The sequence below is a fragment of the Homo sapiens genome, chromosome 9 (assembly GCF_000001405.40).
Source record: "Homo sapiens chromosome 9, GRCh38.p14 Primary Assembly".
Classification (NCBI taxonomy): Eukaryota; Metazoa; Chordata; class Mammalia; order Primates; family Hominidae; genus Homo; species Homo sapiens.
The window spans coordinates 97,170,985-97,194,964 of NC_000009.12; the positions used below are offsets into that span (position 1 = coordinate 97,170,985).

Sequence of the window (23,980 nt, forward strand, 5' to 3'; positions counted from 1 at the left end):
TTTTTTTTGAGATGGAATTTCACTCTTGTTGCTCAGGCTGAAGTGTGATGGTGTGATCACGGCTCACTGCAACTTCTGCTTCCTGGGTTCAAGTGATTCTCCTGTCTCAGCCTCCCAAGTAGCTGGGATTACAGGCATGGACCACCATGCCTGGCTAATTTTGTATTTTTAGTGGAGATGGGGTTCACCATGTTGGTCAGGCTGGTTTTGAACTCCTGACCTCAAATCATCTACCTGCCTTGGCCTCCCAAATTGCTGGGATTACAGGCATGAGCCACCACACCTGGCCTAACCATACAGTTTTTTATAAACTATTCATATCCATTTTGGTATGCTAAGATAAAATAACATATTAGTAAATATAAGGCATAACCAAGAGTTGAGTAACCAAGATTAAAAAAAAGTAAAACACATATATGTTTGAGAAAGACACAAAAATACATTTTGATATCCGTTGACCACAGTCTATAAGAAGAAAAAAAAGTACACACAAAAAGCACAAGGACATTATTCAATGTAGAAAAAGAGAAGAAAACATCTTTAATGTCTGAATTGAGGAGAAAAAGAAAACAGGCAGTTTTAGAAAAAAGGAAAGGTGGAGAGAGATATGTGATGATTTAAAGACTTTGAAGAAGAGATCTAGAGATCTTTACTGACATAATGTCAATAAAATGAAAGATACAAAACCATGTAGAGAAAGGCAATGACAGAAAAATGTTGATTAGAATCAGAAAACCAACTTAAGTGCTCAGTAAATACATAGAAAAGTAGCTGCGTTCAGGGCTTCAAAGACACATTCCATTTTTTAAAAAAAAAATCTGTGATCAAAACATGAATGCTCATTTTACTCTTTTTCTTTAGGTTATACTTTTTTTATATATAAAATTTATTTCTGTAAAACAGAAGTTTAATAAGATGTATACTTCATGTATACAATGGAGGTACCCACATAAAATGAGTAAATTTCCATGATATGTTTTATATCTAAAAGAAAAACAAAGAAGCAGAAACAAAATACAAGCTATATATGAAGATAAATTTTGATGTTAAAGAAGGACACAAATAGGTCTTTAAAAAATTTGAATACAGCAGAGAATATTACAAAAGGAAGAAAAGATGACCAAATATAGCAAAAATGTCTTCAGAAATAAAAGTTCAAACTAGATAATGAAGAGTGCACTTGACATTACATGTCAAAGCGTTGTCATTATTGTTTTCAAAACCATTAAAGAATATGTTGCTAAGTGCAGTGGCTTATGCCAACTTTGGGAGGCCAAGCAGGGTGGATCATGAGGTCAGGAGTTCGAGACCAGCCTGACCAACATAGTGAAACCCCATCTCTACTAAAAATACAAAAATTAGCCAGGCGGGGTGGTGCACCCCTGTTATCACAGCTATTCAGGAGTCTGAGGCAAGTGAATCACTTGAACCCAGGAGGTGGAGGTTGCAGTGAGCCGAGATCATGTCATTGCTCTCCAGCCTGGGTGACAGAGCCAGACTGTGTCTCAAAAGATAAATAAATAAATAAATAAATAAAAATAAGTGTAATGTTTTGGCTTTCAAAAAAATTTCAGACTGTGTTCTTTTTTCACATATTTTTAATATAAATTTTTTCATCCCAACCTCGCCCCAGCAGCTCAGCTGACTCCAACCCCCTGTTTCTCCCCTTCCATCGGACTCTATGACACATGGTCTCATCCAGAGATCTATTTTTCATCACTTATTTTGTTTTTATACTGAAATTTGATTTTTTAAATAATTCCAACAAAAAAGTCCAAGGGTCATGGACTCCCGCTCACATGCCTATAAAGTTGTGAGTTTCTGAAATACATTTAAAAATAGAATTCGTTTAATTATGAAAATGCAGACATAAAATGAATTTGTATCAAGGTTTCAGTCAAGTAAAGTTAGAGTTAAATCAATTACTAAATGGTTAAAATGTTCTACAATATGAAAACCATACCCAGTTGCCTCTTCTTCTAATTCATGATTTTTCTTTCTTATTTGATCTACATTACAGTCCAGTGATGATATTAACTCAAAAAGTTTTCCGAGTTCTTCATGTTTTTCTTCAGGCTTGAAAAAAAAGTGTTTAAAATTATTTTTGTAAAATCTAGAGACCCTCTTCTATCTTAAAAATATTATTTCTCATAAGTTGATGAATAATATGTATTTAGGCAGTTGTATGAAGTGCATTTTATAAACCTGATGCCAATAACGACAGATTTCAAAACTAGTCATTTTCTGAAAACAGCTAAAAAATATTCACACTTTCATCATTATCTTTTCTGAAATTTAAACTGCCAAAAATGTTTGTTAAAAATGAGAGTTTTTACACATAAAATACTAAGGGTTAGTAAGATAAATTAAGAGTAGTTATATTTATATTTACATTTTAGTTTTTAAAGATGCTCTAAAAACTTTGTCATTAATAGTTTAAGATATTCCAAGTTAAATTACATCTTACTAAGATGATTTTTAGAAAACTCTTATCTAGTTCCCATTACATTTTTGATCCTCATCTGTCTTCAGGCTGAGCTAAATACTGTCATTCTCTGTAAGTATTCACCTGTAGGTTTCAGTTTTTCCCTGTCTCTTAACCATTTCTCTTTAAACAAATTTTATTTTTTCTATAATAAATAATAACTTTTATCTACTTTTTGTGGCTTTTCTATTATCCTGTTTCTCCCCTTCCATTGGACTCTATGACACAGGGTCTCATCCAGAGATCTATTTTTTATCACTTATTGTGTTTTTATATTGAAACTTGAGATAAACCAGTGCAAGGCTCTTTAGAGCAAAATCTAGATAACAGACATCTGGGTTGCTTGGCAAAGGTCATGTGTAATCCTAAATTATGAACCTGTCACAATTTAATTAATTGTTCTGCCTCTGTATTCATGCTTTCACACCACTGTAACTGTAAGCCTGCTTCAAGCTAGCCCATCCCATTTTTGAAGTGTGTATAAAAGTCAAGTGCTGTCTTTGTTCTGGGCCCAGTTTGTCAGATGTTGAGTCCGCTGGGTCTGAGTACACTCGATAAAGACATCCTCCTGTATACACCCCAAGGTCTCTCTCTGGTCCTCCTGATTCTGCAACAGTGTGATCTCCACTCACTGCAACCTCTACCTCCTGGGTTCAAGCAATTATCCTGTCTCAGCCTCCCGAGTAGCTGGGATTACAGGTGCCCACCACCTTGCCCAGCTAATTGTTTGTATTTTTAGTACAGATGGTGTTTCACGATGTTGGCCAGGCTGGTATTGAACTCCTTACCTCATGATATGCCTTCCTCGGCCTCCCAAAGTGCTGGAATTACAGGTGTGAGCCAACATGTCCGGCTGCTACTCCTCTTTTTAAATTCTCTCATAACTGCTAAAATCTCAAAACGTTAACCTGGATTCCCTAATATAAATTTCCAGCTCTGACCTTTTTACTGAGCCCTCTTCCCTCTAGTACACATATTATAGGCAATATTCTCAACCACACACTCATACATTGCTACTTGGTGCAGATTACTTTTGTAGATAGTGAATCTTGTCTATTTTATGTTGATTCTTATGGATGTTACTTTGAGTACAGTGTTATTTTCTAATCTTGAAGGGGACTGTCTCACCCTTAGGATATTCACCAGTATACTTTGTCCGTCCTTCCTTCCTTTTTCTTTCTTTTCCTTCTTTCTTTTTCTTTCTTTCTTTCTTTCTCTTTCTCTCTGTCTCTCTTCTCTCTCTCTCTCTCTTTCTTTCTTCTTTTTTGGACCAGTATACTTTGTCCATTTTTTCTTTTTCTTTTTCTTTTTTTGAGATGGAGTCACACTCTGTCATCCAGGCTAGAGTGCAGTGGTGCCACATCGGCTCACTGCAACTTCTACCTCCTGGGTTCAAGTGATTCTCCTGCCTCAGCCTCCCAAGTAGCTGGGGCTACAGTTGCACACCACCAGCTAATTTTTGTATTTTTAGTAGAGACAGGGTTTCGCCATGTTGGCCAGGCTCTTCTTGTACTTCTGACCTCAGGAAATCCACCCACCTCAGCCTCCCAAAGTGTTGGGATTACAGATGTGAGCCACGGTGCCCAGCCCTTTTTTTCTTTTATAATGAAAACTTTCCCATAAGAAACAGATTATCAATTGTTTGCCTTTGTTTTCTTTTAAAGAATTTCCTTTTCCATAGAGATATGGCATGATAAACATCTTGTTCTAAAGTTTCTTTTGGGGGACACTCAACTATGTCATTGGGAAGCTCCAGTCAAGTAGAGATCTCCCTTCCGCCTAATCGAGATTCTTCATCTCAGAATGGTGTCCACCAAATGTCTTAATCCAGGTAGTCTCCTGCTTAGGAATTCATAAAATAAGAACCTCTGGAGAAGTTAGAGGCTATTGATTGAAATGGTTTAAAGCTGCCCCTTATTATATGTTTTACTCCCAAGGCAGACATCAAAGTGGCTAATAATTCTATGCCTGATGTCTAACTCAATTCTATGGGAATCTATACAAAACATTTTATTTACGAGACAGTGTCTCGCTCTGTTACCCAGGCTGGAGTGCAGTGGCTCGATCACCGCTCACTGCAGCCTTCATATTCCAAGCTCAAGTGACCCTCCTACCACAGCCTCCAATGTAGCTGGGATTACAGGCATGCACCACCATCCCTCAGCTAACTGTTTTTTTTTTTTTTTTTGGTAGAGTCAGGGTCTCACTTATATTGCTCTGGCTGGTCTCAAATTCCTGGGCTCAAGCACTGTTCTTGCCTCAGCTTCCCCAAGTGCTAGAATTACTGGCATGAGCCACCTCACCAACCAGGTGTTCCATGGAATGGTTTGAGAGGCAGTTCTACACAGAAGCCAGAAGGCCTGGGTCTGAATCCCAGATCTATCTAGCTGTGTGACCTTGAGCAAATTAATTTTCTGTGTCTCTGGTTCTATATCTATGAAATGGAGTGAATAATACCATCTACTTCACTGGGATGTTGGGAAGATTAAACCAGGGACTGACATGAAGCACTTAGAAGAGTACGTGGTGCATGGTGAGCTACAGATAAGATTTGCTTAGAAGCACTTAGAAGAGTACATGTACATAGTGAGCTACAGACAATATTTGCTATTAGCGTGATAATTTTTACTGTTTTTTATATCTTGACCATTGTATGTTTAGACAGGTGGCATTCCAATGGAGGTGGTCTCCTATAGCTGCACTGAATCATTCTTCACACTACTGAAAGTGGCAGCAAATGGGGAGCATATAATTTATAGCTTACTTTTCTCTCTGTGTGACTCAGTGGGCAACAGTCATGTATGTACTACAATGTAAACAGCACCTCCTGGATTGAGTAGTACATAACGGACATGACCAGCAGAGACGGGCTGAGCCACGGAACTGAAAACCCTGGACTCTATTGCTAAATCAAGGCTTCTGAATCCCCTCCCAGCAGCTGTTGCTGTGGCACTGCCTTCACGAGTACTCTGCTGAGCGCTCAGATTAAGGGGCTGTGCTATCCTTCATCAGACAAGCTGCAGCCAGAACTGTTCAGCTGACAAACTGGCAACCATCCAGAAATACAGTTTGGCTACATAGTGAAGGGAGGCAAATTTAGATTCTTTTTTCATACTGAGAAAAACATGAGCATTTGATTGAACAATTCTCCTCTATTAGACTAATTGCTTTTAATTTCATATTTAATTGCTGAAAATACACTTAGAATAAAAGATTTACTGTGTTAATGTCTCAAAGAAGAAATAATTGGTATGGTATATTTTGTTCTATGCTGAAAGCTGCCAAGCTAAAATATTTTCAATTTATACAAGGATAGGTGACATGCATGTCATATATTATTTTCCCTTTAAGCAAATTTATGTTAAGACAAAATTATCTTCCATTAAAAATTAAAAGCCATGTCAAATTAAGAGCTAAGTTGTTCTGCAGACTGGAAAACAAGTGCTTAGATGTAAAGTCAGTGAGAGAACAGTCAGAGAAAGCTTCATGAAGAGGAAATTGCCTGCCAGGTCTGAATGAATGAGGCTAGATGAGCAGGAACTGAGAAGGCAGGAAGGACAGCATGGGTAAAACTGGTGCTGACATCTGCCCAGTTAACTCTGAGGATAAAGTCCAGTAGCAGGGAATTAAAAACATATGTCCATACAATAACCTGTAAATGAATGTTTGCAACAGCTGTTTTCATAATAGCCAAAAAGTGGAAACAACCTAAAGGTCCATCAGCTGATGAATGAATGGAAAACTGGTGTAGCCATGAAATAGACTATTACTTGACAATAAGACGGAATAAACTACTGTTATGTGCTACAACATGGATAAAATTCTGTAAACATTCTGCTAAGTGAAAGAGCCAGTCAGAAAGACTTCATATTGTATGACTCTATGTATATAAAATATGCAGATCATGCAAATCTATGGAGACAAAAGTGGATGGTGGTTGCCTACAACTGGAGTAGGTGGAGAGACATGGAGTGGGGTTGCAGTCATGGCTAAGAGATGTGGGGTTGCTTTTGAGAGTGGTGAAAATGTTCTAGCATTGATTGTGCTGATGACCACACAACACTGTGAATATACTAACAGACACTGATTTGTACATTTTAAATGGTTGAACTGTCTGACATGTGAATTATCTCTCAGTGAAACTGTTTTTAAAATCCCATGGTAGGATCCAGATAATTTTCTGAGCTCTCTATTTTGGATGTACATACTCTATTAGATCTGAGTATTTCTATGCCATTACAGTATATTTTAAATGAAAAGAAGATGAAGGCAATGCCTAACTTTTCAAGTAGTTTGTAAATTAACCTAAAACGTGTGCATTTCAAAGAACAGTATGATGGCCTTTCTGTACAAGTTAATCTAGAATCCATGAAATGAATAGGCACAGCTTCTGTGTCCATTCACAAAAGTGAAGAAATAAGACAACTTTCTGGAATATTCCATTAAACATTCTCTTCTGACTTAATCTGGCTTGCCTCACCAAGGCATTAAGGAAATTATCTAAAAATACTGTTTAACAGGAAAAAAGTCAATTTTCTGTGAGGAATGATGTATCATTCTCAACTTTCCCAAGAGTAGATATTGTAAGAGAAAACATATGCAACTATTTTTCAAAACGGCAGGACAAGAGCCAGAGTTGAAGAAGTAAGTACGTTATAAAGATAATAAAATGGTAATGATCAATTATAATGAAAATACAAAATCAAGCTGTCCACTGAAATTAGTATCCTAAAACACTTTATATTATTCAACCAGCTACAGATTAACTGTCTACATGTTAAATTCCATACATACTTGACTTTCTACTTGAAATAATTTCTTCTTTGAAGTCCGTGTCTCATCCAAATTAATATGACAATATGATGTACCTTCCAGTGGAGACTCTGACATTGAAAATTTTTTAAGGTGATCAGCCAGTTCTTCTTGAAGTTGTCTTACAATCACCTGACAAAATATTTTTGTTACCAATTTTATAAAGTACCTTATTATTAAATTATGTTAATCATATTTAACTCTAGCATACATACTTTGAAAATTATTACCACACACACAGATTCACTTTCTTTCCCTTATATGTACACTTTCTTCTTTATTACTGAATTCAGTGAGGGACATAGAAGTTTTTATCTTCCTGCCAAATTGGTATTCTCTTACATGACAGATTGATTCAGCCCGCTATTCATTCACCTTAGACCCTCAACTCAACCTGAGGTCCTCACATATTCAGTCACCTGTTGAAATCCTTCCAACAGATTCCTATCTCAGAATAAAATTAAAATTCCAACGGCCTTCAAGGCCCTAGGTAACATGGCCTCTACCTCCCTCCCTGACCTCAGCTCCTACAACTCTGTCCTGTACAAACTTCAATCCCACTCTCCGTGAACTCTGCCACCCCTCATTAGTCTGAAAATGGGGATTCAATGTCAAACTCATAAATCACAGACAGCTACAAGTATCTTTGTACTGGAAAGAGTTATATCCAAATGATACTCATTGAGACTTAAAATGTAAATTATGAGCTAATTATTCATAAAAATATTCACAGTAAATTATAAACACCTACCAGTGGAAACATTACATCAAATATCTTTTGCTAAAATTTACCACATTTATTCCAAATTGGATTTTATAACAAGTAGAAGTCTTTAAAATACTAAGTGGTCAGAAAAATACATAATGTGAGACTGACATATTTTCAGACTTAAGTCACATTGGTATGAATCAAAACAAAGTTATACCAACTAAAATACATAAAAGAGAGAGCCACTGAAGGAAAAGCATCACAAGACACCGCAACACACTTCAGTTCATCTGGGAAATCTAGAATTAAGTGTCAAAGCGGCTTACTTAATTGAATCTTAATTTCAAAATACACATTTCAGGTACAAGCATTTCCACTTACCCGCTTCATTATGGTCTTAAAATGTGGCAACATAAAGACATTACCTTTATTATTTCAGTAGTATAAGACTACATACCTTATCAACAATGCTCTGTATCTACTAAAATTTCACAGGTGACATAACGTCTTTACTCAAAGGAAAGCATCTCTCAGCTCCACCTTTTATTTCCTGAAAACAAAGTATGTTTCCAAGCTGATACAGTAAGCACTTTTTTTGGTTTATTAAAACAGCTTCGTTGAAATATGATTTTTCTTAAAACAGCTTTGTTGAAATATGATTTATAGAATTTATCTGTTTTAACAAAGAGTTCAAAGATTTTTAGTAAATTTACTGTGTTGTGCAACCATCTCTACAATTCAACTTTAGAACATTTTCATCACTCCAGGACAATCCCTCATGCCCATTAGCAGTCATGACCCACTTCCAGCCCCAGGGCTATACAAACATTAATCTTCTTTCTGTCCCTATACCTGTATTTCCTGGATGATTCATGTAAATGGACTTACAAAGTATGGTAAACACATTTTCATCTATTTATTTTTATATTGAACTAGGTTCAACATATAGCCAGAATGAAATGTTTAAATTTTCTTTCCAGAAGGTTATAAATAGTTTTCTTCATACTTCCTTCTCCTTCTGCTGCTTCTTTTTCATACTGAAAGTTTTTCTTTAAAATAATTATATTCATTCATTAATTCCATACTTTTTTCTTCTAGAAGATCTTCCTTTCCATTCTCAAGACAGCCTCCTTGGATATTAATGACTATCTCTTCATTATGGCCTTCCTTATGAGCATCCTCTAGTTGTTGTTCAAGCAAGAGATTTTCGAGTTCTTGTTGACATATTCTCTCCTCTAAAGAGTTCTGCGTTCCAGTGGATTGACTCTCCTTAGCTTCCTCATTTGGATGCATCTGCTTCATTTCCTTTATTTGATGCTGTGCTTGCTTTAGGTCCATCTGTACACTTTCTAAAGCCAATGTCTTTTCCCTGAGAGCATCTCTTGTCTCATGCAGCTTAGCTTTTAAGGTACTGAACTTCACCCGAGCTTTAGAAAGTTGTTTAGTAAGCAACTCATTCTTATCTGTTAGTTGAGAAATATCAGAACCCATTTTTTCTTGTCCATAAACATCATCTGCTCTCTGTAAAACTAGTTCTAGGTCTTTTCTTTCCAAAATTTCATTGTACTCATTTATAGCAGTTGCCAGGCTAGAATGGAGGGATTTGACTTCAGCTTCTAGTCTCTCTTTGTTGTGTTTTTCCTTCTCCAATTTTGAATTCAGCCTTGAATTCTCAGCTTTCAGATCATTGAGCTCTTGTGAATACTGGGCAATTGTTTTTGTTATCATTTCTTCATTGAGTCTTACACTCTTTTCAAAGTTAGCATTTATTTCTGTAATACTTTTAATTTCATGAATATATTCTTTTTCCTTTCTGAGACTGTCATTTTTTATTGCGTATAATTCCTGTTTGAGCATGGCAATGTCTCTCTTCAACATATAATTTCCATACATCACATCCTTCTTTTTTCCATAACTTTGAGAATCCTAAATAAAAGAAATGTTTAGCTAGCACTCAATAAAACAACATATGTTGGTTATTTCTGAAATGAAAGAACAACCTGTACATTCATGCAATTAAAAGTTGCTGTAAGTGGATATCCAACTGGAGAAAAAGTTGAAGCAAAACCTTAAACCTTAGAGAACATACATTTCAAAAAGTTCAAAAATTTATTTGAAGTCAATGAATCCATAAAATACATACACACACACAGACACACACACACTCTAGAGAATTTTTAAGAATATCAGAATTGGAAAAGCCTTTCTCTGGATCACAACAAACTCAAAGCATGAAGTTGTTAAAAAATTTGACTAAATTAAAATCTTGGAAAAAGAAAATTGCATTTATACTCTGATACCTAACCCAGACACCACCCTATAGTAAGAGCTTTACCTCCACATCTATTTGGACAGATAAAATCTCTCAAAGTTTTAAAAGTTCTGTTTCCCTGATCATATTCTATTGTGATTTGACAATAGAATAAATATATAAGCAAGCTGCAGGATTTTCCTCAGGGCTTCTGACTCTACTTCTAGTTCTACATCAGATCACGGTTACTTCTATGGTGTAAATATATCAACACAAAAACAGAGAAACAAAAAGACACAGGCATAAAATGTGTCTTCTGCCTTTGTCACCTGGATTCTCCATGGAATAGCCAGATTGAGAGGATGTGACCTTGTGGGTCTTCAGAAACAGAAAAGAAGCTTTCCCATTTCTGAACTAAGCTTATTTTTTCCTTTGGATCCTGGGATACCAAAAAAGTGAAGGCGCTCACTGAAATAGAGGAACCAAAGTTTGCCACAACACAAGGAGCTGAGTGAAACAGCTGAGTTGCTAGTGCAGAATCCTGGAAAATGAGATGTTCCTCAAGTTTACATTCAATTACCACAAAAGTTTATAGCTGGAAGATATACAGTAGAGTTGTCCACTCTAGCCCCATTATCTACTTGATAATGGAAGTAAAACCAAGAAATATTAAGTAACTCATCCAAAGCTCCTAAGGTGGCATTACCTAGTATTTCATGGCACCAAAAGGGAAGATACAATTACATATTGCTGAATTACATAAATTACCAGATAAATACATCAAATCTGTCAAATAAATTAAAAGTGTGACTTTGGCAAAGCAATTTAATGGCTCAGAGGGTGGTGGTGGGGCCTCATCTGCTTTTACTTTGAAAGAGGAGAATCTCTAGATTTTTGTCTGTCTTTAGAACAAAATGTACAGAACTCAGCCTTCTACTATAGAGTCAAATGCTAAATTTTTGGCTGAGGAGTTATGCTACTTATATGATAAAATCATACATGCCAAAACCTACCATATTTTATTAAACAACATCATGTAAAACTCTTGATTCAACAGAAACACTGGAGAGTGGTGATTTTCTTAAATATGTGAATGTATATATATTTGTTTCCAAAAATATTTAAAGTGGCCATGATGGAAGTATAAGTTTAAACAGTTTGAGTCAAACAGATAAACTTGCATGCATGAATGCACATTAAACAGACTTCTTTGGTTGGGAATATTTGTTGCAACTCTCAAGGTCAGATACATTTTCATGTCTCTTCTCAGTCATTGCTTCCCTCCCATTGTATTACCATTTTATCATTTAAATAAATGTAATTCATCTTTAAATGAATTTAGAAAAAAGAATCTAGACATTATTTCTTTAGCAATTTCCCTTATGCTTATCTGGTTCAGAAGGTCACATGGTATATGGCTAAATAATTTTCCCAGCCCATATGCCACCTGGAAGACTCACAGTGAGACTTAGGTTAATGAATGATCAAAGATTATGAGAATGTTTTCCAGAACCGTCATTTAGATAGCAGCACTAATCTACTTTGACACATAATTACACATTTAGATAACCCCACTGTAACTATGCACATGAGATTTTCTTGAGTAGAAAACCAGAACGAATCAGATAACTTATAATAAGAGAAGCAGCAAGGGAACCTCTTTCTTTTTATAGTTGAACTTTTTTTCTTCAAAGCCAGGAACTCTACTTGTAACAAGCCCATCTCATTCTTAAGCCTTTGCATATCTTGCTGTAAGTCTTCTTCTACATATGCTTTTGATGTTCTGTCACTATGTGGTGGAGAATAACTCACATTTTCTAATTCAGGTTTCATGCTTTCATAGATATTAGCAGTGGGACTGTCATATGTGGGTCCCTGAAACACACTTGCCAAACACCTTCTAAGCTTTAGAAGAGCTTCTAAGTTCCATGTGGCTTGTGGAAGCGCTGTATTGGTTTTCGGTTTTTGTTAAGTGTCTGTAACAGCAGAAATACTGTAGCTTTCTATTTGTATCACATGCCTCCATTCTTTGGAGTGAGCAAACCACAAATCAAAAAGAACTTTTGGATCTCCAGACTGAGGCCAATGTCTAATGACTAATTTCCAATCTGTGGTATTTTGGGTTATATTTTCTTGTATTTGCATATCAAACTCTTGGTCTTTTTTCATTTCAGCCATAACTACTGGGTTCCTTAATTTTTCAATTTCTATATCATTACAATTCTCTTTCTTCTTCATCTCTGTGAGAAACAGGCTACATGTCTGCTTTGTTATAATTTTTACAGTCTGATCTATTTTCATTTGAATAAAGCTTAGAAGATGACTGGCAAGTGTGCTGGAGGGACCCAGAGTATAAATGCAATGACAAGACCTGAGTGAGATGGGCTCCTTCTGTTCAGGCAATGCCTGGAATACCACAGAGTTAGACACTCCAGGTGCATCTGCTTCCTCACCATCAGGGATAGGATTCATCAGATTATGGGGCACTCCCTTTAAGTTTGTCCCTCTTTAAAGTTACAATGTAAGAGCTCTTCCTCAGGACAAACAGTAATTCTGCATTTTTCAAAACTTTCACCAATCTTCAGTTGAACTTTTTTGTAATGAATTTTTTTTTTTTTTTGAGATGGACTTTCACTCTTGTTGCCCAGCTGGAGTGCAATGGCATGATCTTGGCTCAACACAACCTCTGCCTCCCAGGTTCAAGCGATTCTCCTGCCTCAGTCTCCTGAGTAGCTGGGATTACAGGCATGCACCACCACACCTGGCTAATTTTGTATTTTTAGTAGAGACAGGGTTTCTCCATATTGGTCAGGCTGGTCTTGAATTCCCGCCCTTAGGTGATCCACCCGCCTCAGCCTCCCAAAGTGCTGGGATTACAGGTGTGAGCCACCGCACCTGGCATTGTAATGAATTTTAAAGGAAGTCCCGAATATATAGATATATCTTCTTTATTACAATTCTTACTCATTTCTGGTTCTTGAGGCATTTTTTTGCAGGTGCAAAAGTGGAAAATTAATTTGCTTCTTTTGTTTCTCAGATGTCTTTTCTGACAGGGTGCATGTTTTAAAATTAATTTTATTCTAAATTAAGTATGAACAAAGAAAAATAGAAAATAATTAAAATTGAACTGTGAAACTTAATCTATGTTTTACTACCCCAAGTTACTGGATTATAACTAAGAAGTAAAAAGTAATTTGCCTTGGCTTAATATAGGAGAAAAACATGAACCAGGAAGCTTAACTCTGTTTGGAGTAAATTTAATTCATTATCAATTAAATCTGACAGAAATGGGTTCACAGATGATATGTAGTATTCTAAAGGCTTTCTCTCTTGAAAAGATTTTTACCTCAGCATACCCTAACTAGTGAACCCCTACAGTGAATTCATATTTCTGAGGATTAACTAAAGAGTAGGCAAATGTTAAATTATTAGAAGCCAAAATGAATACCAATCAGAAAGAGAAGAAAATTTTTAGATTCTACTTCAAATGTTATACTGTAATATGATAGTCTTATCTAGATAGATTATCTGCGTATATCCACATCTAATATATTCTAAGCTCCACTAGTGACAGTGGGTTAAAAATTTTAATAGCATTTTCTATTTATGTTAAAACAAGAAAGTTATTGTTTGTACCCTGACACCAAAGTCCCATTCTGGAAGGCATAATTCTGTCAGTAGGCAGTTGGGTTGCTTTTATGACCCCATCCTCTCCCTGAACATAGACACCGAAGGCAACCAGAAACCAAAAAACAGATGAAGTCTTTAACCTCAGCACTGGTGACCAGCAACATAAGACTGCAAAGTTTGAACCACTGGGAATGATGACTCCTTTAACATGAGGTGAACTCAGTGGCCATCACTGTTCAATTGTTCATAATTTCTCTTGCTTAGTAATACAACTCCATTTTTGATGTTACCTTCTTTATCATGAAGAAGGTTATAAAAATAAAAGAGCAAAGAGAGTTCTGGAAATTTCTGGCCTCAATTCCAAGGGTACAGATAGCTGTGAGTTACTACAGACTATAAGAATATTTTAAATTTTAAAACAGGCTAAAATGTTTTAAAATTCAATATGAAATTATGCTCTGTTGGATTCTAAAAGGATAGTCTAAAAGGTCACTTCATTTGGACTATGCTATGTTATTAAAGAAAAACAAACAAACCAGTATTAAACCAGAAATTTAAATTGTTACATACCCGTGGCTGTTTATTTTCACTTCTTTCAAGCCTTTCTTGCTTTTCCTCTGAAGGCACTTTTAAGTCGTGTTCTGCTGACAAATCCATATGTTTAGTTAAAATCAATGACTTAAAATAAAGACTATCATCTTTATAAAAATTGATACAAAACAACATATACTTTTATAAATTGAGAGTTTAAATGAAGCTTAATGTTTACTGGAATATTTACATTTTTAAGAAACACTTCTAATTATCTAAAACTTTAACAAACCACTTGGGGAGACACTAGATATCAGCAGGTTCAAGCCATGCAAAAGTCTCAGGGTCATCCAAAAATTATTCCACCCAATATAAAAAAACGAAACTGCTGGAAACAAAACAAAATTTAAAAATACAGTAAAAACATATAAAGTAACACTTTACTATTCTCTACTTCATAATAGTATCTTTTTAACATGCTAAGTAAGTTGTTATTTACTAATAATTTGCAAAATTTTTGTTACTGTTACATCTTTATAGTGTACACCCTGTTTTTTATATCTGAAATATTTTCCTCTACTATTCTGACAAATTTATTTTTGTGTTTTAAGACTCAGAATGCAGGCTGGGCACAGTAGCTCACACTTGTAATCCCAGCACTTTGGAAGGCCCAGGTGGGATAACTGCTTCAAGCCAGGAGTTTAGGACCAGCCTGGAGACTATAGTGAAACCCTGACTCTATAGAAAATTTGCCAAGCATGGTGGTGTGTACCTGTAGTCCCAGCTACCCAAGAGGTTGAGGCAAGAGGATCCCTTAAGCCCAGGAGTTTCAGTTTGCAGTGAGTCTCGATTATGCCATTGCACTCCACCCTGGGTGACAGAGTAAGAACTTGTTTCCAAAAACAGAAAAGGAAAAAAGGCTCAAAATGCTATGTGAAGTCCTCCCTGAATCTGGCTATCTTTCTCCACATACACAGGTGTCTCCTTCCTTGGGGCTCTCTTAGTACTTTTTGAATTTTTCTAGTGTCACTTCACCATCTGAGCTGCACATCATGTCTTTGCATGTCTATCCCCTTTGTTGCTAGACTGTAGCAATCATCTTTGTATAAACAGTCTTTATTTTACTAAACATTTATTGAGTTCCTGCTAAGTGGTAGGCACTGGGGTTTAAAGAATGAGAATAAAAGCTGTCAGGGATGGCTTTTCTAGAGATCATGCCTGGGCTGAGACTTAGACAGTGAGGTTCACCAGACTAAAACAGGCAGAGGGCAGCAATGATAACACATGCCAGGCAGTGGCAAGAGAGGGAGAGAAGCCTCCCAGAGCATATGTATTTATCTACATGAGAAGGATGGTGACAGAGGCATCACCAGCAGCGCAGTAATGCCAGAAAAAGGGGCAGACAGAGAAAGGGCTGCAGAAGATGAAGCCAGTTTCTGAAAGCCTTATATAAACCAACTATTACTGTCATTTCTTAAATTTTTTAAAAAAGCAAAACAAATTAGAAAAGCGTAATTGCAAGAAAAAGACCAACATTTTATTTGATTGTATCTTATCTTATTTGACTTGATTTTTCTTAGAGATGGGGTCTCACTCTGCCACCCAGGCTACAGTGTAATGTTGCTATCATAGCTAACTACAGGTTCAAACTTCTAGGCTCAAGTAATTCTCCTGCTTCAGACTCCCAAGTAGCTGGGATCACAGGTGCAGAACACTACATCCAGCTACAGTTTTTGAAAAAATAGTCACGGGGTCTGGTGATGTTGCCCAGGTTGCTGGACCTCCAAGCCTCAAGGGATGCTTCTATCTCAGCCTCCAACACTGACGAGATTACAGGCAGGAGCCACCATCCCCGGCAACACCAATATTTTCAAATGAATAAACTGGAGCTCTATCATTTTATTTTATCATGGATGGGTGAAAACTTTGTAATAGACTCATGTACTCCATGGATTTGTGACAAGGAAACTATAGCATTAACTATGGCTGAAGCTTCCCTTGTCTCCCAGTCTCTTTACATGGTTAAGAGTGGAGATACTCAAGTGTCTTACCTTTTGCACCTTCTTTTCTTTTTTTCAAATTTGCAGGCTTCATAGCTGCTGTTTCTGTCAAACATGCAAGCTTCTTAGATATTCCTTCTGGAAGACATCATCCCTCTGCCTCCTTACCTGGCAAAGTTTCACTTACTCTGCGTGCTTACCCTAAATCCTACCCATTTTTTTTTATAAGCTTGCACTCATCAACACAAATTCAAAAGTGAATGGCATCTAATGAACATAATAAATACCTAGTAAATAATAACTATATGCTCCCAGGTGACATCTATCCTCCGTCTACCCTCTACATAATGGGTCAGCACACTGCAGACCACAGGCCAAATCCTGCCTACCATATGTTTTTTCTCAATGAAGTTTTATGAGAGTACAGTCATGCCTATTCACTGACATGCTATCTATGACTGCTTTCACACTACAATGCCAGGGTTGAGTAGCTACAACAGAGACCACATGGCCTTCAGCTGCTTAAATCATTAAATCCTTCTTGAAAAAGAGAGAGAGAGAGAGACCACATGGCCTAAAATATTTCCTATTTGGCCCTTTACAGAAAAAGCTTGCCAATCCCTGCTTTATACCCTCAACAGAATGCCCTATATCTCAAATTGAATCTAATGCCTCCCCTGTTTACACTTTTCCAATGAATTTCTAGAGCAAACACTGCTGGCTCCCTACCCAAGAGCAGTTCCTTGTTGTTTCTTGCTGGAGAATCACAAATCTGTTTGGGTATTTATTATCCCAATACCTCTCCCTCCTCAGCTTCAAAAGATAAGTGATTATTCTAAGCTAATCACATAACTACATTTGCTTTCCCAGTGCCTGGTTTAGGAATGAGCATGTGGTGTGACCCAGCTAATAAAATATTACAGAAAGGGCCGAGCACGGTGGCTCATGTCTGTAATCCCAGTACTTTGGGAGGCTGAGGCAGGCGGATCAAGAGGTCAAGAGACTGAGACCATCCTGGCCAACATGGTGAAACCCCATCACTATTAAAAATACAAAAATTACCTGGGTGTGGTTGCATGTGCCTGTTGTCCCAGCTCTTCGGGAGGCTGAGGCAGGAGAATTGCTTGAACCTGGGAGGTGGAGGCTGCAGTGATCTGAGATCATGCCACTGGACTCCAGACTGGTGATAGAGCGAGACTACATCCCCAAAGGAAAAAAAAAAATTACAAAAAGTCCCCTGCAAGTTTTCTCCCAATTTAAAAGACACGTGAAGAAAAGCATCCCTTCCAGCCTTTAGATACTGTCTTGTGAGAACATGATGTTTGGAGCTGTTGCTAAGTAGCCAACCATGAAGGGAGACATCAACAAGACACTGCCAACAGCATAGCTGAAAGAGGAACAAGTGGGATCCAATAATAACACCGGACAACCAAAACAAGTCTGGTTCTTATGGTTTTGGCCACTGTTAGGTCTTCTAGTATTTGTAGCCAAAAGCATTCTACCTCAGAAGTTTCCCCTGGCCTACAGCATAAGATCTACTCATTTCTATACTATTAAAAGTCTTTTATTGAACTGGTTTCTAGACACAGGTAAAACAACAACAAAGTCTTTCCTAAGCTTGCCTTCACTGACACATACTAAACATAATAAATACATAATAAATAATAACTATAAGCTATTTTCACCTCATTACCAAGCACTCCATATTTTTTTTTGCACTAGTAAATTTGAACTGCTCATAAACTCTACAAAGTTCACTCAGGTGTCCTATCTTTTGAACTTGCTCCTTGTGTTTTAAAACTTTCATTCTTCGTGGCTTCTGCTTCTGTCAAACATGCAAGCTTGTTAGATACTCTTTCTGCCAAGCATCATCCCTCTGCCTCCTTACCTGGCAAAGTTCCACTCACTCTACACACTTACCCTAAATCCTACCCACATTTTAGAAGATTGCATTCATCACCACAAACATAAACGTGCCTGGCACATACTGAACATGATACATACGTAATAAATAACTATAAGCTCCCAGATGACATTGGACACACAGTAAGCACTATTTCAGGTAGTAAATAAAATAAATAACAGTGGTAATAACAATCTCCTAACTCTAGTTTTTAAATGCATTTTGAAACATTGGAAAATGCTTAGTCTATAACAGATACATGATAGTTATTATTTAAATGGACAAGTATTTGAATGAATTATTTTTCTTAAAAATTCTGTTGAAAAAACACAAAAATTAAAGTTATCTATATTCTATTATGAGCACCTTAAAGACAAAAACTATGTCAATTCCATCTTTGTCTCCTGCAATTTGCCAAACCTAACTTATAGAAGTGGTTTGATAAATATGTACTAAATTAAAGGTGTCTTTATATAGTTCAGATTGTACAATGCATTAGGTGTTATATTTTTGTTATTGTGAACCATTTTTATAATTTTATTATAATTTTTTGAGCCTAGAGTTTGGCTATTGGAATATTTATTATGATTATCTCTTGCCTAATGGTAACAGAGTAACTTTTTTTTTTTTTTTTTTGAGATGGAATCTTGCTCTGTCACCCAGGCTGGAGTGCAGTGGTGCATTCTCGGCTCACTGCAATCTCCACCTCCCAGGTTCAAGCAATTCTCCTGCCTCAGCCTCCTGAGTAGTTGGGAATACAGGTGCCCACTCCCATGCCTGGCTAATTTTTGTAATTTTAGTAGAGATACGGTTTCACCATGTTGGCCAGGCTGGTCTCAAACTCCTGACCTCAAGTGATATGCCTTCCTTGGCCTCCCATGTGCTGGGATTACACATGAGCCACCACGCCCAGCCTGGTAACAGATTATTTTGTTCCAATAAAATTACTATTATTATGATAATTATCCAGCACATAAAAAAACACAGCTTGTTCTAAGAAGTGAATATATCTCATGAAGTTCCAACTTACGGTGAATAAATTAAAAATAGACCTTGTTTGTATAAGAATATGTAACATAACTTCTGCTTCTTGGAAAGGAATTACTTTTCTGTCTTCTGCATTCAGTAGGTATCTTCAAAAATAATCTTCTATTTGTATGGGTGCACACTGGCTCCATTTTATGATTCTTATTGCCATTTGTTTATGGTATCAGAAAGGGATTTTCGAATTCCTAGTTCTAAAGACAGTTACTTTCTTAGTGACACAAATTCCTATGTAATGCAGTTGACTCTTGAACAACAAGAGTTTGAACTGCAAGGGTCCACTTATATGCAGATTTTTCTTCTGCTTCTGCAACTCAGAGACAGCAAAACCAACCATTTTCTTCCTCCTCAGCCTAATCAACCTGAAGATGAAAAAGATGAAGACCTTTGGGAGGATTCACTTACGTTTATGGATAGTAAGTATATTTTTTTATTTTCTATGATTTTCTTTATAACAGCTTCATTTCTCTAGCTTACTTTATTCTAAAAGCATAGTATGTAATAATGCAACACATACAAATACGTGTTCACTGACTGTTTATGTTATCACTAAAGTTTCCAGTCAATGGTAGGTTATTAGTAGTTACATTTGGAAGGAGTTGAAGTTGTACTCAGATTTTCAACTCCACAGGGATCAGAGTCCCTAACCCCCACAATATTCAAGAATCAACTGTAATTAAGATTTATTTACTAAATGCAAACCATTTACTATAAAAATTAAATAGAAGATCCATTTGCATAACAAGTCCAATTTGTAACAATGTATAGAAGAAAATGCAACATATTAACTTAATCTAATTTCTTATTTATATTAATACAAAAATATGTAGAATTTCAGGGATCATAAGTAGGTAAATGAATTTTTTCAGACAATACTGTTTGAGACTGAGAATTAGCTACAACTAACTTCTTAAATAACTCTGAATTCTAAACTAAAGAAATTTTAAAAAATTTATATATAAACATATATATTTTAAACTGCTCTTTTATGATTAAAAATATGTAATCTTACTTTTTTTGTTTTCTTTGGAGATAGAGTCTTGCTTTTCCATCCAGGCTGGAGTGCAGTGGTGCAATCTCAGCTCACTGCAATGTCCACTTCCTGGGTTCAAGTGATTCTCCTGCCTCAGCCTCCCGAGTAGCTGGGATTACAGGCGCCCGCCATGACACCCAGCTAATTTTTGTATTTTGAGTAGACATGGGGTTTCACCATGTTAGCCAGGCTGGTCTCAAAATCCTGACCTCAGATGATCCACCCGCCTCAGCCTCCCAAAGTGCTGGGATTACACGTGTGAGCCACCATGCCTGGCCTGTAATTTTGCTTTTTTAAAATCAGTAAGATCACCAAGGGAAATCAGAAATTTACTATCAGAAGTCTTACCTTGATTGTCATTTCAAAGATGATTTTTAAGTTTCTTATTTTTATGTTCCAAAATTTGTTGTTGAATGCTATGCATAATAAATGTAATAAATAAAATTAGTATTTTAATAGTGATATGAAAAATCTTTACCAAACAGATTAAATTCTTAAAGCATTTCAGACAATATCAGAGCTAATATCAGAACTCTAATGTCTAATACACTTTAAAATTTTAAGCTCTATAAACTTATTAAGCTTCTAATTAAAGAAGAAAAACAGGAAGTACTCATAAACTGAGAAAAGCATAGCTCAGTAAATTAATTCTAGTTAGCTAGCTTAACAGTCTGGAAACTGTCCTGCATTCAGAGTAAGTCCTCGCTCTGTAACCAATAGGTATTTTATTTTCAGACCAGTTGCTTCTCTTAGGCTCCATGGCTTCTTCCAAAAAATAAAGATTTTACTACTTGACTTCACTAGGTCGTTAGGAGGATGTAATGAGATAACATGTTTAAATGTTCAGAGAAATAGTAAAGCAATGGAAAAATTTATTCTTGAACTGCATTGCTGAAACCATTTTGGAATCTCAAATAAAACCTGATGAGTGTTTTTCCATAGGTTCTAATATTTGAATGTCACGGTTTTCAGAGAATGTGCTAATTTTGGTTATATTAGTTCTATTCATTGCGGCTTGTAGTTCAGAGCATTTTAGCTAGTTCATAACTTGTAACTAAATTTATATATAAATATATTATTATCTCATTAAAACATATAACCTAATTGTCCCCTATTACTGAGCTCATCAATCACACCAAGGGCAGAAAACTAATAGGTGTCAAAACCTGGCTGGGACAACTACCATTCCTTTTCTACCTCCTCAAACTCAAAGCCAGCAGGTCTGTGTTAGGGGCTGCATCTTCTTGGTCCTCTCCGACTGACATACAAGACAAAGCCCTGCTTGTATTGTTTTTCAGTTCCATGAAAGAGCTGCAAGTTGATGTTTCCTCATTTCCAAGTCATGTACTAACAACATATTTGCATGTAACATCCCATGTGCTACTCAGCTCTGTTCTCATTTCACAGATCACCTTACATGAATACTTTTATAATGATCATAATAACAATTTCCATCTCGGGTGTCTCCCGTTTTGGTTTGACTCACATTGTTTCCTAGAAGCTAGTTAACAAATAGTCAAATGACCTTCTGGGGACTGTGCAATATGTGGAATGCTTTCTGAATTTGTGTGCCCTCCTTAGGCAGCAGGCATGCTTATCTGTTCTGTATTGATCCAATTTCAGAATATGTGCTGCTGAAACAAGTATAAAGCCCTGTTTTATACATGGATACTGATGAGTCATGGGTAAGGCTTAGCTCTGTTAAACCCAAATTACCTACTTTAGATACAGAGAATTCTATTGAATGACTTCTGTGAGGTAAAATTTTAAAATATTTTAAACACTTGAGGTAGAGATGCAAGTAGCCTGAGAGATTTTCATTATTATGGAAACACATTACTTGAGGGGCCAACTCCAAGGTGCCCATTACTCTATTGAAGGATAATGTGGAACCTTTTGCTATCTAACAAAAGCTGCTACACAGGTCAGAAAAAAGCCTCAAGGTACAGATGTGATAACAAAAGGCAAAGGGACCTCTTCTCTCTTCCTGCAACATTATTTGAACATCCCTAACTGTTGAGTAAAATCCCAATTAACATTTGCTAGAGAAAATGGACACTGGTCTCAAAGGATAACATACCATGAAGGTATAGGCTAAGCCTAGCCAAGAGGTGGGCTACAAATAAGATTTTTAATGTTGGGGGAAGGTCAATTTACCACTATGTGTGTGGCTAGAGCCAGGAGGCCTCGCTGCCAGAGCAGGGTGCTGGGAACAATGGCTGAGCCTATGTACATGAACTAAAAAACACTGTAGCTGTGGGCTGGGTGCGGTGGCTCATGCCTGTAATCACAGCACTTTGGGAGGCTGAGACGGGTGGATCATGAGGTCAGGAGATTGAGACCATCCTGGCTAACATGGTGAAACCCCGTCTCTACTAAAAATACAAAAAAAAATTAGCCAGGGATGGTGGCGGGCACCTGCAGTCCCAGTTACTTGGGAGGCTGAGGCAGGAGGATGGCGTGAACCTGGGAGGGGGAGCTTACAGAGAGCTGAGATTGTGCCACTGCATTCCAGGCTGGGCGACTGAGCAAGACTCCGTCTCAAAAAAGCAAAACAAAACAAAACACTGTAGCTGTGGACTCTGTGTATGAGTCACCATGAAGAGTGATGGATCTGAATCAGTAAGGGCATCCTGGTGGCAAAAGTCAATCATTACCAGATTGCAGGACCAGTTACAATGGCAGCAATACAGTAAGTGAATCAATGGAAACAACAGAATGATTAGAATGGCCTTTTCCCCCCTTCTTCTGACTTGTAAAGCAAGATTGTCTTCCTTGGGCTTAGGGAACCCCTTAGCTTTTTGAAAAATTCAAAGGAGGAAGGCATAGGAGATAGCCTCAGGGGATAATACAAGATTTTCTGCTAAAGTGGACATTTCAAGACCCAATAACTAATTAGAAAAGTCAGGCCAGGCACGATGGCTAGCAGTTTGCGAGGCCGAGGCAGGAGAATCACCTGAGCTCAGGAACATGAGTAACATAGTGAGATGTTGTCTCAAAAACAAAAAAAAAAGAAAGAAAAAGTAAAAGATGTGACATTATTTCTATCTCACATATAAGGGTTATACTTGGAATAAAATGAACACTGAGATCCCTAGGGATAAAGGTCTTTAAAAGTCCAGAAAGAATCTTGCACTCATTGCTACTTCTAACTAGTCTAGATTTCTGTTTGATTTCTGGCTAAAAAGTGGACTAACTTGTTGCCATTCCAAACTACCTCAACCAAATTATGAACTGTCACCTAATATATAAGATGCAATAGTTGTAATTGTTTTAAACCTTAATTTAGTATTAACTGGTCTTTTAATATAAGCACATACCTTCTCAAATCACAATAAACAGCATAATCCTCAGCCATTTGGCCAAACATGTCTTGAGAAAAGATATTTATATTTTGTTGAAGGAGGAGGCTGATGATACTTGACGAGCTATGCTGTACTGCAAGCATGAGGGCTGTTCTAAAATAATAAAGAAATAACAGCACTTAAGAACTTTAATAAAGATATTTAATTGGCAAATTGGATACATTTTACCAATTTCATATCTTGCCTGTCAGGATAGACATAGTAACCATTTACATGT

General features: G+C 36.7%; 2 pseudogenes across 1 annotated transcript in view; both read right to left on the reverse strand.

The window, feature by feature from the left end:
- The window catches only part of ANKRD18CP (ankyrin repeat domain 18C, pseudogene), an 82,850-nt pseudogene that overhangs the window by 15,092 nt on the left and 43,778 nt on the right, over positions 1–23,980 (reverse strand). The window contains exons 7-13 of the transcript NR_136286.1: positions 23,719–23,856; positions 20,747–20,814; positions 16,470–16,523; positions 14,458–14,531; positions 9,013–9,932; positions 7,280–7,429; positions 1,964–2,076 (exon numbers count right to left, since the gene is read on the reverse strand). The product of NR_136286.1 is annotated as an ankyrin repeat domain 18C, pseudogene (transcript). The remainder of the gene's footprint in view (positions 1–1,963; positions 2,077–7,279; positions 7,430–9,012; positions 9,933–14,457; positions 14,532–16,469; positions 16,524–20,746; positions 20,815–23,718; positions 23,857–23,980) is intronic.
- Positions 21,939–22,041, reverse strand: RNU6-798P (RNA, U6 small nuclear 798, pseudogene; annotated as a pseudogene).